Source organism: Homo sapiens, chromosome 7 (assembly GCF_000001405.40).
Source record: "Homo sapiens chromosome 7, GRCh38.p14 Primary Assembly".
Taxonomy (NCBI): domain Eukaryota; kingdom Metazoa; phylum Chordata; class Mammalia; order Primates; family Hominidae; genus Homo; species Homo sapiens.
In genome coordinates this window covers 80281748-80297899 of record NC_000007.14, presented here as the reverse complement: position 1 = coordinate 80297899, position 16152 = coordinate 80281748, and the positions used below count along the sequence as shown (strand labels likewise).

Below are 16152 nucleotides of genomic sequence, written 5' to 3'. Positions count from 1 at the left end.
TATACTACATATTTCCCATATTTTTTTTTCCTGAATGTTCTTCCCTAAACAAAGAAACTATTCATTTTACTTCTATAGGGAGTCATTCTGCAGACGAGGAGATGTGAAAATCCAAGGACCTTGGGGTCAATTTCACTCAGGCAACAGCCTGGAGAATATGAGCCATAATTTATGGAGATTTAAGAATTAATAACAAAAACATATCAAATGCTAATGACAAATTCAGAGCTGAAATGAAACACAAAACCAAGAATCGGTGCTTAGCAGAATTTGGTATGAAGCAGAAAGAGAAAAGTAAAATTAGCAGATCAAGGCTTCCAGAAAGGTGGATGCGTATGAGGTCCCTAGCCCCAGTACCCTCACAGAAACACAGTTTAGCAACTATTCATAGAAAAGAATGCCTTTGTGAGAATTCCAAAAGTTGAGCACCCTGGTAGAGTGAAAAAAATTGCATTAAAAAAGATAAAAATAACCCTTCTTTGTCAGAAGCAATCCTGCCCAATCCAGCACAACACAGAGCCAAGAAAGATCCTGTTGACCCGTGATTTCTTCAGTGGAGTAAAGAGAGATCATGGTGGATGTTGAACTTCCCCAGCATTTCAGGGCATTGCTCTAGAGACCCACTTATGCCTCACCTCATATCACACACTGGGGAAATTGGCATGGCTAGACCACCTGGGAACAATCAGGAATAACAGAAAGAGGCAGGGGCTCTCAGCAGCCAGTGCATACAGATCTCAGAGGCAGTCCCACAGCCCCTGTGAGCAGCCTTGCCTGACTGTGGCCCTAACCAACAACTCCATCAAACCAAAGAGTCAAGTCGGCTGGCTCCACCCAACTATAGAGCTCAGAGAGCAGGCTCACATAACCTTAGAGCCCAGGCAACCAGCCCCACCCACCTGTGAAGCCCTACCAGACAACCATGCTCAAAAGTAAAACTTTGGTAACAGGCTCCATTTAACCAAGAATTCAACAGGCCCTGTTTCAACTTTGAACCCAATGGACCTCACTCACAGGCCTCACTTGCCCACAGATAACTGCCATCTGGCCCACCCAGAGTCCTAAGCTAGGCTGACTAGTGAAAGTCTTTCCCTGCTAAGAACAGACTATAAAGACTGGAAGAGAGAACCACTTCTTCAAATGTGCAGACATAAATGTAAGAATATAAGGATCATGAGAAATTAAGGAAACTTGATAACACCATAGGAAACTAAAAAAGTTTCAATAATTGACCCCAAATAAATGATGATCTACGAAGTGCCTTACAAAGAAAAATAATAATCGTCTTAAAGAAGCTTAGTGAACTATTAGGCAGACAACTAAACAAAATTAGAGAGGCAATACATAAACAAAATGAGAAGTTCAAAAAGAAATGAAAACCATAAAACCAAAGAAACAGAAATCCTGGATTTGAAGAATACAATAACTAAACTGAAAAAAAATTAATAGAGGGCTTCAACAAATGACCCAATTAAGCAGAAGAAAGAAGTAGTTACCTTGAAGACAGGTCATTTAAATTATGTAGTCAGAGAAGCTAAAAGGATAAAGAATGAAAAACACCGAAGAACCCCTACAGGACATATGAGACACCATCAAGTAGTTCAATATACACATTATGAGAGTCTCTGAAGGAGAAAAGAAAGAGAAGGGGAGAAAAAAGTGTTTTCAAGGTTATGAAGAAATTGGAATTCTTGTACACTGTTGGTGAGAATGTAAAATGGTATAGCCACTAAGAAAAACCAGTATGTAGGTCCCTCAAAGAAATAAAAATAAAACTTCCGTATGATCCAGTAATCCCACTTCTAGGTGTATATCTGAAAGAATTGAAATCAGGAACTTGAAATGATATCTGTACTCCCATGTTCCTTCCAGCATTATTCACAATAGTTAAGGTATGGAGTTGTTACTATTATAAATGGATATAAAGTTACAGTTATACAGTATGAGTAAGTTCCAGAATTCTGCTGTACAACATAATGCCTGTAGTTAACAATAAGGTATTGTGCACTTTAAAAGGTAGTACAAGGATAGAGCTCATGTTAAGTGTTCTCATCACAAATTTTAAAAAAAGAAACAAAAAATAAAGTGGCACATGGAAACTTTTGGATGTGATGAATATATTGATTACCTTGATTGTGGCAAGGTAACACTGGTATATGCATATGTTTGAACTCACCAAATTGTACACACTATGTGCAGTTTTGTGCACCAAATATACCTCAATAACTTTGGGGAAAATTAAATTTATTTTTTAAAAAAGTTTAGATCAGGTCATGTACAATTGCCCTAACTGGGAGATGATTTGTCCATAAGCCATTTTTAATATCTCATGACTCAACATACAGCAACAGCTAAGATTGGCTTAATGGTTCACCACACACTCCTTTAGATGGTCACAGAATTGGAAGGAACCAGAATGAACTATGAATATGAAAATCCATCAATAATTTACAAAATAGCCTTTAAATTCTTTATTGCTGATTTTATAACTATTTTACTTTTTATTTTATTTATAAGAGAAAATTGTGTTGATACATGAGGAACGTTCCTCACTATTTGACTATGGCTTCATCATAGCATATGTTAGTCTGCTAGTATCAGAAAATTTGTGTGACACCTGCAAACTAATCAGAGTTTCTAGGTTAAAGGGTGTGTCAGACACTCTGGATAAAGTTCTTTCTCTGGATTAAACTAGAAATCTCAGGACCTGTATATTCTAACATCTTGTTCAGTAGGGAAAAATGGTATGGGTGGTGGGAAGAGGCCATTGAGTACAACTAGTCTCATACAACTAGAGCCAGGTTTCCTAATGAAAATTGCAATGTTAGGATGTTCTCCACTTTACTAAAAGTCATAAGTTTTAGAAAGTTATTTCTTTTTCGGAGTCATATCTTCCTCCCTGAGAGTTCCATTCCATTATCCTAAAGTTTCTCTGGAACCACTCAAAGTAGCTTCACTCTCTCTGAGAGAAAACTCTTTAATATTTGACAGTTTTTATCATTGCCTTCAGTGTCTTCTGTTCTCCAAAGAAGACACATATAACAATGAGGCTAAACTAACCAGCTTCAACAGAAAGGTCTTAGAAATGATGCCAGTATATTTATTGGCTTAATATAGACACAATTATCCATTCTGAGCAGAGATGACAAAATTACATCTTTGACAGAGCAAAGTTCTTCATAAGGGGACCACTTGTGGGCAAATTTTGGGATGTATGTACCCTTGTTTATTTTTACTTCACTTTTATCATATTTTCAGATGGACTTTATTACTCAAAAAGACTAAGAATAATTGACTTGTTGAAGACTTTATTATAAACATATTGCACAGTTCTCCTTGGTCACATTATAAGAACATTTGGGTATGTCTGTGACTCATCAGTGATTATCAGTGGGCAAATGTGAACAACTACTGTGGTATCTTCAGCAAAGTCCTGCAGCCTCACATAAATAAATGAAAGGAAAAACTGGGGAAGGAAAGAAGAGAAAGCAAAGGAAAAAAGGAAGGAAGGAAGGAGGGAAGGAAGGAAGGAAAGAAAGAAGGAAGGGAGGAAGGAAGGAAGGAAAGAGGGAGTGGGGAGGGAGGAAGGAAGGAAGGGGAAACATGTAGGAAAATAGAAAGAGAAAGAAAAAATGATTAAAGACTTTCACCAGGCTGGGCACAGTGACTCAAGCCTGTAATCTCAGCATTTTAGGAGGCCAGGGCAGGTGGGTTGCTCGAGCCCAGGAGCTGGAGACCAGCCTGGGTAACATGGTGAAACCCTGTATCTAACAACAACAACAACAACAACAGCAACAAAAATCCACACGCACACATGCACACAAAAAATTTCCCAGGCATAGTGACATGCACCTGTAGTTCCAGCTACTGGAGAGGCTGCAGTGGGAGGATCACTTGGGCCCGGGAAGAAAAGGTTGCAGTGAGTCGAGATTGTGTCACCACTGACATAGTTTGGCTGTGTCCCCACCCAAATCTCATCTTGAATTATAACTCCCACAATTCCCACATGTTGTGGCAGGAACCAGTGGCAGGTGATTGAATTATGGGGACAGGTCTTTCCTGCACTGTTCTTGTGATAGTAAATGAGTCTCAAGAGATCTGATGGTTTTAAAAATGAGAGTTTCCCTGAACAAGCTCTCTCTTTGCCTGCTGCCATCATGTAAGATGTGACTCGCTCCCACTTGTCTTCCACCATGATTGTGAGGCCTCCCCAGACATGTGGAACTGTAAGTCCAATAAACCTCTTTCTTTTGTAAATTGCCCAGTCTCAGGTATGTCTTTATCAGCAGCATGAAAATTGACTCATACAGTAAATTGGTACCAGTAGAGTGGGTCACTGCTGTAGATACCAGAAAATGTGGCAGTGACTTTGGACCTGGGTAACAGGCAGGGATTGGAACAGTTTGGAGGGCTCAGAAGAAGACAGAAAAGTGTGGGAAAGTTTGGAACTTCCTAGAGACTTGTTGAATGGCTTTGCCCAAAATGCTGATAGCAATACGGACAATAAAGTCCAGACTGAGGTGGCCTCAGATGGAAATGAGGAACTTGTTGGGAACTGGAGCAAAGATGAATCTTCTTATGTTTTAGCAAAGAGACTGGCAGCATTTTGCCCCTGCTCTAGAGACTTGTGGAACTTTGAGGTTGAGAGAGATGATTTAGGGTTTCTGGCAGAAGAAATTTCTAAGGAGCAAAGCATTTGAGAGGATGCTGACCTCTCAAAGCATTTGAGAGACATGACCTGGATGTGAGAGGTGCCTTGGGTGCTGTTAAAGGCATTTAGTTTTATAAGGGAAGCAGAGCACAAAAGTTTGGAAAATTTGCAGCCTGACAATGTGATAGAAAAGAAAATCCCATTTTCTGAGGAGAAAGTCAAGCAGAAATTTGCATAAGTAAGGGGGAGACAAAAGTTAATCCCCAAGACAATGGGGAAAATGTCTCCAGAGCATGTCAGTGGTCTTCACGGCAGCCCCTCTCATCACAAGCCTGGAGGCCTAGGAGGAAGAAGTGGTTTTATGGGTCGGGCCCAGGGTCCCCATGCTGTGTGCAGCCTAGGTTCTTGGTGCCCTTTGTCCCAGCCACTCCAGCCATGGCTGAAAGGGGCCAATGTAGAGCTTGGGCTGTGGCTTCAGAGGGTGCAAACCCCAAGTCTTGGCAGCTTCCACATGGTGTTGAGTCTGCCAGTGCCCAGAAGTCAAGAATTGGGGTTTGGGAACCTCTGCCTAGATTTCAGAGGATGTATGGAAAGGCCCAGATGTCCGTGCAGAAGTTTGCTTTGGGGCAGCAAACTCATGAAGAACCTCTGCTAGGGCAGTGTGGAAGGAAAATGTGGAGTTAGGGCCCTCAGACACAGTCCCTACTAGGGCGCTACCAAGTAGAGCTGTGAGAAGAGGGCCACCATCCTTCAGACCCCAGAATGGTAGGTCCACTAAAGCTTGCACCATGCACCTGGAAAAGCTGCAGACACTTAACACCAGCCCATGAAAGCAGCCAGGAGGGATGCTGTACCCTGCAAAGCCACAGGGGCAGAGCTGCCCAAGACCATGGGAACCTACCTCTTGCATCAGCATGACCTGGATGTGAGACATGGAGTCAAAGGAGATGATTTTGATGCTTTAAGATTTGACTACCTCACTGGATTTCAGACTTGCATGGGGCCTGTAGCCCCTTTGTTTTTGCCAATTTCTCCCATTTGGAATGGCTGTATTTACCCAATGCCGATAACTCTGCTGTATCTAGTAAGTAACTAACTTGCTTTTAATTTTACAGACTCATAAGTGGAATGGACTTGCCTTGTCTCAGATGAGATGTTGGTCTGTGGACTTTTGAGTTAATGCTGAAATGAGTTAAGACTTTGGGGAACTGTTGGGAAGACATGACTGGTTTTGAAATGTGAGGACATGAGATTTGGGAGGGGCCAGGGGCAGAATGATATAGTTTGGCTGTGTCCCCACCCAAATCTCATCTGGAATCGTAACTCCCACAATTCCCATGTGTCGTGGGAGGAACCTGGTGGGAGGTGATTGAATTATGGGAGTGGGTCTTTCCTACACTGTTCTCACGATAGTGAATGAGTCTCATGAGATCTGATGGTTTTAAAAATACGAGTTTCCCAGCATAAGCTTTCTCTTTGCCTGCTGCCACCATGTAAGATGTGACTTGCTCCCTCTTGCCTTCCACCATGATTGTGAGGCCTCCCCAGCCATGTGGAATTTTGTAAGTCCAATAAACCTCTTTCTTCTGTAAATTGCTCAGTCTCAGATATGTCTTTATTAGCAGTGTAAAAATAGACTAATACAACCACACTCCAGCCTGAATGACAGCAAGATCCTAATTAAAAACAAACAAACAAAGAAAAACACCCACCTGCCACAGGTGAAAAGGGCATTATTCCACATCTCTTCACTTCACATAAATAAGAAGTGTGAGAAAAACTGAGTTTGTTTGTTATTTATCTTGGCTTTTTGATTGTTTGTATAATTTGAAGGGCACAAATCCAGGTGTCCCAACACCAATCTTTTAAACTGACAAATATAGTAGGCAATATGCATAAAAAGAAAACATTTTAACCATCATCTACTCCTGAGGTAGCCCACTTGGTTCATTATAGATGAACCTAACCAGCAGGAGTTAGGCCCCAGGAAAAGCTTCTGAATCCCAAACTCACTCAATCCTGACTTATGACTGAAAACTAACATAATCATTTAAATTATAAACCCATCATTTTGAAGACAAAATTAAGCACAATTTCTCATGATTCAATTCCTTATAAGCAGTGAGAGGTCCAAATTTCTTCACTAGATTTGCCTTTCTTATTTGTATCAGGAATAAAACCCCAATTATGTGCTAATCTCTCTTGTAAATATCTATTAGGTCCATTTGTTCTGTAGTGAAAATTAAGTCTGATGTTTCTTTGTTGATTTTCTATTTGGATGATCTGTTCAATGCTGAAAGTAGGGTGTTGAAGTCTCCAGTAATTTTTGTATTGCAGCCTATCTCTCTCTGTCGCACTAATATTTGCTTTCTATATCTGGGTGCTCCAGTGTTGGGTGCATGTATACTTAAAATTGTTATATTCTTGTTGAATGGACCTTTATTTAATGACCTTCTTTGTCTTTTTTTATAGTTTTTGTCTTAAAATCTATTTTGTCTGATTTCCACTCCTGCTATTTTTTGCTTTCCATTGGCATGGAATATCTTTTTTTCATCCCTTTATTTTCATTCCATGTGTTTCTTTATAGGCAATGTGTGTTTCTTGTGGGCAACAGATCATTGAGTCTTGCTTTTTATCCATTCAACCATTTTGTGTCTTTTGATTGGAGAGTTTAGCCCACTTACATTCAATGTTATTATTGATAAGTAAGGACTAACTTCTGCCATTTTGTTATTTGTTTTCTGGTTGTTTTTTTCTGGTTTTCTCTTCCTTTTTTCCTTTGTTCTGGTCTTCATTTTAGTGAAGGTGATTTTCTCTGGTGGTCTGTTTTAATTTCTTGCTTTTTATTTTTTGTGTATCTGTTAAAAGATTTCTTTTATTCAAAATTACCATGAAGCTTGCAAATAATATCTATAACCCTTTATTTTAAATTGATGACAACTGAACAGTAATTGCATAAAAACCGAACTCACTAAGAAGAAAAGAGAAAAACAAAAAACTCTACACTTTGATGTCATCTAACTGCTTTTTAATTCTACTTATGTGTTTTATTTCTCTTTATGTCTTATTCTACTGCCTATGTCTTGAAAAGTTGTTGTAGTTATTCTTTTTGATCAATTTATCTTTTAATCTTTCTACTCAAGATATGAGTAGTTTACACACCACAGTTACAGTGTTATGATATTCATGTATTTATTATTACCAGTGAATTTTGTACCTTCAGATGATTTCTTCTTGCTCATTAACATTTTCTTCTTTCAGATTGAAGAACTCCCTTTAGCATTTCTTGTAGGACAGGTGTGTAGTGTTGATGAAATCTCTCAGCTTTTTTTTTGTCTGGGAATGCCTTTATTTCTCCTTCATGTTTGGAGGTTATTTTCACTGGATATACTATTCTAGGATAAAAGGTCTTTTCTTTCAGTTCTTTAAATATGTTATACTACTCTCTCCTGGCCTGTAAGGTTCCCACTGAGAAGTCTGCTGTCAGGCATATGGGAAGTCCATTATATATTTACATATATATTTTTTTCTCTTGCTGCTTTTAGAATCCTTTCTTTATTCTTGACCTTTAGGAGTTTGATTATTAAATGCCTTGAGGTAGTCTTCTTCAGGTTAAGTTTGCTTGGTGTTCCATAACTTTCTTATATTCAGATATTACTATCTTTCTCTAGGTATGGGAAGTCCTCTGTTATTGTCCCTTTGAATAAACTTTCTACCCCATCCTTCTCTCTACCTCCTCTTTAAGGCCAATAACTATTAGATTTGCCCCTTTGAGGCTATTTTCTAGACCTTGTTAGGCATGCTTCATTTTTTTTTTATTCTTTTTTTGTCTCCTCTGTGTATTTTCAAATAGCTATTTTTCAGCTAATTCTTTCTTCTCCTTGATCAATTCTGATATTAAAAGAATTCTCATGCATTTAGTATGTTCATTGCAGTTTTCAACTCCAGAATTTCTATTTGATTCTTTTTAATTATTTCAATCTATTTTTTAAATTTATCTGATAGGATTCTGAATTCCTGCTGTGTGTTATCTTTAATTTCATTGAGTTTCCTATTTTGAATTTTCTGTCTGAAAGTGATTTGTCCCTGGTGCCTTTTTTAGTTCATTTGGTGAAGTCATGTTTTCCTGGAAGGTCTTGATGCTTGTGGATGTTCATCAGTTTTCTGGGAATTGAAGGGTTCGGTATTTATTGTAGACTTTGCAGTCTGGGCTTGTTTGTACCCATTCTTCTTGGTAAGGCTTTCCAGGTATTTGAAGGGACTTGGGTGTTGTGATCTAAGTTTTTGGTCACTGTAGCCATATCTGCATTAGGGGGCACCCCAAGCCCAGTAATGCTGTGGCCCTTGCAGACTCATAGAGGTACCACCTTGGTGGTCTTGTGTAAAAATCCAGAAGAATTCTCTGGATAACCAGACAGATTTGTTATTGTATCTTTCCTTACTTTCTCCAAAGTACACAGAATTTCTCTCTGTGTGTGCTGGGCTGCTTGGAGCTGGAGGAGGGATGACACAAGCACCCCTGTGACCACCACCTCTGGGAATGTGCTGCGTCAGACCTGAGGCCAGAACAGAACGGGGTCTCACCTAAGGCCCACTGTAACCAATGCCTGGCTACTGCCTATGTTTACTCAAGGCCACAGGGCTCTACAATCAGCAGGGGGTAGACTCAGCCAGTTATGTGTCATCTCCTTCAGAGCAGTGAGTTTTCCACAGTCTCAGGTGGTCTAAAGATGCTATTTGGGAGCCAGGGCCTATAGTCAGAAACCTGAGGAACCTATCTGGTGCTCTATTCTACTGCAGCTGAGCTGGCACTCAAACCACAAGACAAAGTCCTTCCCACTCTTCCTTCCCCTTTCCACAAGCAGAGCAGTCTCTCCCCATGGCTACCACTGCCTGATGTCCACAATGAGTACTGCCAGGCTGCCAATGTTCACTCAAGGACCAAGGGCTCTTCATTCAGCTTGTGGTGAATGCTCCCAGGCCTGGGACTTTCCCTTTAAGGGAGTGGGCTCCTCTCTGGCCGAGAGCAGTTTCAAAAATGCTGTCCAAGTGCCAAGGCCTGGAATTAGGGACCTCAAGATCCCACATGATACTCTACCCCACTGTAGCCAAGCTGGTGCTCAAGTTGCAAGACATCATCCCCTTACTCTTCTCTCTCCTTTCCTCAAGCAGAAGGAGTTCCTCCCTCTCTGTAGCCACCAAGCTGAGAATGTGCTGGGTCACACCTGAAGCCAGCACATTTCTGAGTGTTACCCAAGTCCCATGGCATGTACTGCCTGGGTACTGCTGCTGATTATTCAGGGCCCAAGGGCTCTTAATCAGCAGGTGATGAATCCTGCCAGAACTGGGTCCTTCACTTCAAGGCAGTGGGTTCCATTCTGGCTCAGGGTGTGTATAGAAAGGTCAACTGGGATCTAGGGCCTGGAACGGGAGCTCCAGGACTCTGCCTGGTGCCCTATCCTATGTGGCTGAGCTGATATCCAAGTTGAAATATAAAGTCCTCTTCATTCTTTCTTCTCCTCCCTTTAAGTGGAAGGAAGGCGTCTCTGCTGGAGCTGCAAGCTGGGCTGCCTGGGGTTGGCAGAAGGGTGGCCCAACCACTTCCTTGGCTGCCCTAGCTGGTGTCTCTCCAGGTCATGTGCCCCCCTGCCCCAAGTCCACTGGCCCCAAGCCCAGCACAATGCTAGGACTTGCCCAGGAATTGCAGTCCTTGTGGCTTATACTGCCTTTCAAGTTTATTTAGGATGTAAGAGCACTTTAGCCCACAGTGGCAAGGCTTGCTGGAACTCAATTTCTGTCTGCTGGCATGGATGATTTCCCTCTGGCTAGAGTTGGTCTAAATGCTCCCTCTGTGGCACCAGCTGAATTCTTATCCTGTTGCTTTCCACTGTGACAGGACAGCACTAAGTTCCAATGCAAAGTCCTACAATCACTGTTCTCTCCACCCGTGAAATGCACAGATTCTCCCTTCATGCCATGCAGCCACTGCCAGGGGAAGGCATTATCAATTCAAGGCTGTCATTCCTACCCTCTTCTGTGCCTCTTTCAGTGATATGAAGTTAAAACCAGGTACTGTGATTAGTGTCATGACTTTTGGTCCTTTTGAGGGTGATTTTTGTGTAGAGATCAGTGGAGGCTTCTATTCAGCCATCTTGCTCCATCTCCTCTCTCCCCTAACTTTTACTAGTATAAAATCATAGGTCAGATATTACAGTTTGATTTAATGATTGAATGTCTTTATATAGGCTTATTAAATTGTTAACAAATATTTAATGAACATTTGTTACATGCAAGAAACATGGCTGCAATTTATGTTTTCTCACTACCAATAAGAAAAGAGAAAGTTCATATAATTCTAATATTAATCCTAAGTATCATAGTTAATAAGATAAATATAATTAAAAATAATCCTCGAATCAATTTTTATTGCTGACTGGTCAAGTTCCTACTACCATTACTCTTGATTTTTCCCAATGATCAAGTTGCTAGTATTAGAGTCCTTTTTCTATTCTTTTATCTTGGTTCAAAATATATTCCATGATGTTTATTGTAATTATAAAATTTTAAGCTGGGAAAATCTAGAATCTTGATATCTGAAGGACTTTTGCTTTTGAGCGTGTATTAGCTCATTCTTGCACTGTTATAAATAAATACCTAAAACTGGGTAATTTATAAAGAAAAGAGATTTAATTGGCTCATAGTTCTACAGGCTGCATAGAAAGCATGACGCTGGCACCTGCTTGGGGATGCCTCAAGAAACTTACCATAATGGCAGAAAGTGAAGGAAAAGAAGGTGCATCTTACACGACCGAAGCAGGAGGAAGAGAGTAAGGGGGGAGTACCAAACACTTTTAAACAACCAGATATCATGAGAACTCTATCATGAGAACAGCACCAAAAGAGGAAATCCACCCCCATGATTCAATGACCTCCCACAAGGCCCCACCTCCAACACTGGGAACTACAACTGAACATAAAATTTGGGTGGGGACACAGATCCAAACCATATTAAGCATTTCAAAAAAGTATCAATCTTATGTTTTAAAACAATTTTAATAAATATTGTATTATGATTCTTCAAATAGTATATGCTTATGGAAAAACAAAAATGAAAAGAATTAATACAGAGAAAATTAAAAGGCTTCACCTAACCAATTCCTTTCTCTCCAATTGTATTTACTGCTAAATCTTCCATATGTACCTTCAAGAAAAATTCAATTCCTTTCTCTCCAATTATATCTACTGCTAACTCTTCCATATGTACCCTTCAAGAAAATTTCAATTCTTTTCTTTCCCGTTATATCTACTGCTAACTCTTCCATATGCACCCTTCAAGAAAGTTTCTGTGAACATACAAGCACATACATATGAGTACATATGCATACTTTATTTTCATCATGGTCACCACATAAATATCTATTTCATTAGCTGGCTTTTACAAAAAGTAGTTTACTTAACCATTCTCCTACAAATGAACATTTCTTTTCATTGTTTTGTTAAAACCAACAATACTGCAGTAAATATCCTTGTATCTTTTAATACTTGTGTAAATTCATCCATGAGATAAATTCCTAGTGGTGGATTTTCTGGGCCAAATTTTATGTGCATGTTGAAATTTGGTAGATATTGCTAAATTAGTATCTAAAAAGGTTGAAAAATTTACATTTCTGCCATGACTGTATTAAAATGTCAGTTTATCCACACTCTCATCAGTATTGTATAAAAAAGGATTCTGCACTGGTTTGACATTCTTTTTCCTCCATATATGCCTCTACATTTCTTCAGCAAAGGTTAAATAACTAAAATCAATGTTCACATGTTTGATAAGTAAATGAAAGTAACCCCGATGCTTTCCTTTAATGTTAATCTTTTAGAGAGAAAAAGTAAGGGGAGGCAGGAAAAACACCCTATTGCATTTACTATGCATAGGTCAGAAAATATTCATGGCACACAGAATGTGAAAACAAAATCTAAAAACATAAGCTTGTCTTTTGTTCCATAAATGTACTGTAATATGCACTAGTTAAAATAAAATCTGTCTTGCAGAGCACTGAATTTTTCAGCAGCAATAATTATCTCTGTTTATTTCATTTTCTACTTTGGGAAAAGCTTATGATGCATGCAGAGTATACATATGAGTTTCACAGATGTGGTCTAAATTACTCATATGCTAAGCCCTTTTATCTGGCTACTGCTGGGTCAATTGCCTAACATAGAACAGAACAGGGTGACATGAGTTTGCAAAGAATTTGAAGTTGAATTTCAGCTTACAGCCTGGTTTTGCCATCAAATACACTATTTAATGTAGTGAAGCTCTACTTAAAGTACAAGGGTTATTGTTTTCTACTTTTTATTCTGTGTTCTAGCCAAAGAAAATAAACTGAAAAAATGTTCTAGTAGACATTAAGTCCAATTAATCAAGGTAATTTACTCAACCTCACTATCTAAATAATGAAAGAATGCACACACGCACACACACACACACACACACAGTTGTTCCTACATAAAAAGAGAGGAGCAACAATAAAAGAAGCTTTAAAGTTCTTTATAAAAATGCAGTTATTGGTGTGTGGGTATTCTACACAAGAATGTTTAAGATACAAGGAAGCTTCAGAATTCAAGTAATAATTTTGTTCAAAAATTTTTCAGTGTAGTTGACATATCAATAACTAATTCTATTATTTTGGTTCTATAACTATCACATTAACTTAACTACTAAATAGCTGTACATTTCCTTATTTTATATGTGTGTGTGTGTATATATATATATATATATATATATATATATATATATATATATATATATATGTATATTACTCTGTCCCCGTGGAGCTGCATGGTACAGTCCCCTAGCTGCTTTCACAGGCTGATGTTAAGTGTCTGCAGTTTTTCCAGGCCCACGGTGTAAGCTGTTGGTGGATCTACCACTCTGGGGCCTGTAGGACAGTGGCCCTCTTCTCTTAGGTCCACTAGGCAGTGCTCCAGTGGGGACTCTGTGTGGGGGCTCCAACCCCACATTTACCTTCCACGTTGTCCTAGCAGAGGTTCTCTACAAGGGCTCTGCCCCTGCAGCAGACATCTGCCTGGACATACAGGTGTTTCCATACATCCTCTGAAATCTAGGCAGAGTTTCCCAAACCTCCATTATTGCCTTCTGCATAGCTGCAGGCCAAATACCACATGGAAGTTGCCAAGGCTTGGCGCTTGCACCCACTAAAGCAATGGCCTGAACTGTACCTTAGCCCCCTTTTAGCCATGGCTGGAGCTGGAGCTGCTGGGACTCAGGGTGCCATGTCCCCAGGCAGCACAGAGCAGTAGGGCCCTGGGCCTCGCCCATGAAACCATTTTTCCATCCTAGGCCTCCATGTCTGTAATGGGAGGGGCTGCTACGAAGATCTCTGACATGCCCTGGAGACATTTTCCCCATTGTCTTGGCTATTAACATTTGGCTCCTCATTACTTATGCAAATTTCTGTAGCCAGCTTGAATTTCTCCATAGAAAATTGATTTTTCTTTTCTACTGCATGGTCAGGCTACAAATTTTCCAAATTTTTATGCTCTGCTTCCCTTTTAAACGAAAGTTCCAATCCCGAATCATCTCTTTGAACATAAATGGCTGTACACTTTCATAAAAATCCAGGTCACATTTTGAATGCTTTGCTGCTTAGCGCTTTATTCTGCCAGATACCCTAAATCATCTGCCAGTCTCTTTGCCAAAGCATAGCAAGCGTGACCTTTGTTCCAGTTGCCAATATGTTCCTCATCTCAGCCTTAGACCACCTCACCCTGGGCTTCATTGTCCATATCAATATCAGCATTTTGATCAAACCATTCAATATATCTCTAGGAAGTTCCAAACTTTTCCACAACTTCCTGTCTTCTCCCAATGCCTCCAAACTGTTCTGACCTCTGCCTGTTAGCCAGTTCCAAAGTGGCTTCCAAATTTTCAGGTTATCTTTATAGCAGTGCCCCACTCTTGCTACCAGTCTTCTGTATTAGCCAGTTTTCATGCTGCTATTAAGATATTACCTGAAACTGGGTAATATATAAACAAGAGGTTTGATTGACTCACAGCTCCACATGGCTGGAGAGACCTCAGGAAACTTTCAATCATGGCAGAAGGTGAAGGGGATGCAAGGCATGTCGTACATGGTGATGGGAGAGAGAGAGAGACAGAGACAGAGAGAGACGGGAAGTGTCACACGTTAAAACCATCAGCCCTCATGAGAAGTCACTCACTATAAGGAGAACAGCAGGGGGAAACTGCCCCCAAGATCCAATCACTTCCCACTAGATCCCTCCCTCAACACGTGGGGATTACAATTCAAGATGAGATTTGGGTGGGGACACAGAGCCAAGCCATATCATCATGGTTATACATGCTATATATAGAACAGGAAGAAAAATAGCAAAAAACATAGTGCTCCTACTCTTTATATCCTAGTGCCTTTAAGAATGTAATGCAATGAATGGCTAGATGCATATTACACCATGAGATATGTTTGAGGATAGAAAGCATGTGTGCAGAACAGAAAAAGAAAAGAAATCATGATCTCTGATGATTTCATGGAACATTAATTTAAGCCATAATTCCAACCAGATTCTATCACAGCTTCTAAACTTTTTTCACTTGAGAACATAAACTCTTTTTGTGTTTAAGCTTGTGTATTTGAGTCTCCAAAAGTAGTAAACAAACCTCAAATTTCCTGATATCTATTTTTCAAAGTGCGTCTCAGATTTAATTTCGTCCAGATGATACTCCTGTGGTCTCCCGGTGATCCCTGACTACTTTGTTCTTATGTGATCTCTAGGTGCTCTGAATAACTAATGGATCTATCCATTACATTCATTAGCAGTTTTCACATGCTCTCTTGCATTGTTAGTTGTCTTTTAATGTGTAGGTTTTAGCTATACTATATATAGCTTTAACTATACTGTAAATAAGGACAGGTGAAATGTCTATTTATTCTTGGTATTCCTTAGGGAAAAATTCAGTACCCTATGGTAAATATTTGATAAACAAGTAAATGAATAACTATTTCCTTATTACTTGATTTAGTACCATATAGTAGGTGGATATTGATCTAAGAAGAATTCTCTCTGGGGTTTCTGGTCATAATTTATCCAAGATAGTCTGGGTAAGATTGGTCTAATCTAATCAGTATCCTTTCAATTCATTCAAATAAAGTATTAGCATTTACTTCACAGTAAGCAGAGAATACAGTACTAGCATGTATTTCACAGCAAACAAGGATCCCCCTCAGAGATCTTGCAAATCAAAAGGGGAGGCTCATATGTAATGAATATTCACAATAAAGGATAAAAATATTATGTTAGATGGAGTCAGAAAGCAGTGGGAAAGGAGAGCTGGGAACCACATTGAGTGTAAGGTGAGAAAAGACCTCCTTGAAGATGTGATATTTAAGCTGAAATTCAATAGTGCGTGTTTTTATTATTTTGATTCTGATCTGTTGTCGCACAACACAAGATGCAACACAGTT

At 39.6% G+C, this 16152-nt stretch overlaps 1 annotated feature.

Moving 5' to 3' along the window:
• Positions 13928-14429: an enhancer, noted in NCBI's record as "H3K4me1 hESC enhancer chr7:79912787-79913288 (GRCh37/hg19 assembly coordinates)". NCBI's record gives its function as "activates a minimal SCP1, AML or CMV promoter by ChIP-STARR-seq in naive H9 embryonic stem cells {active_cell/tissue: H9 hESC(naive)}" and the evidence as "EXISTENCE:reporter gene assay evidence [ECO:0000049][PMID:30033119]".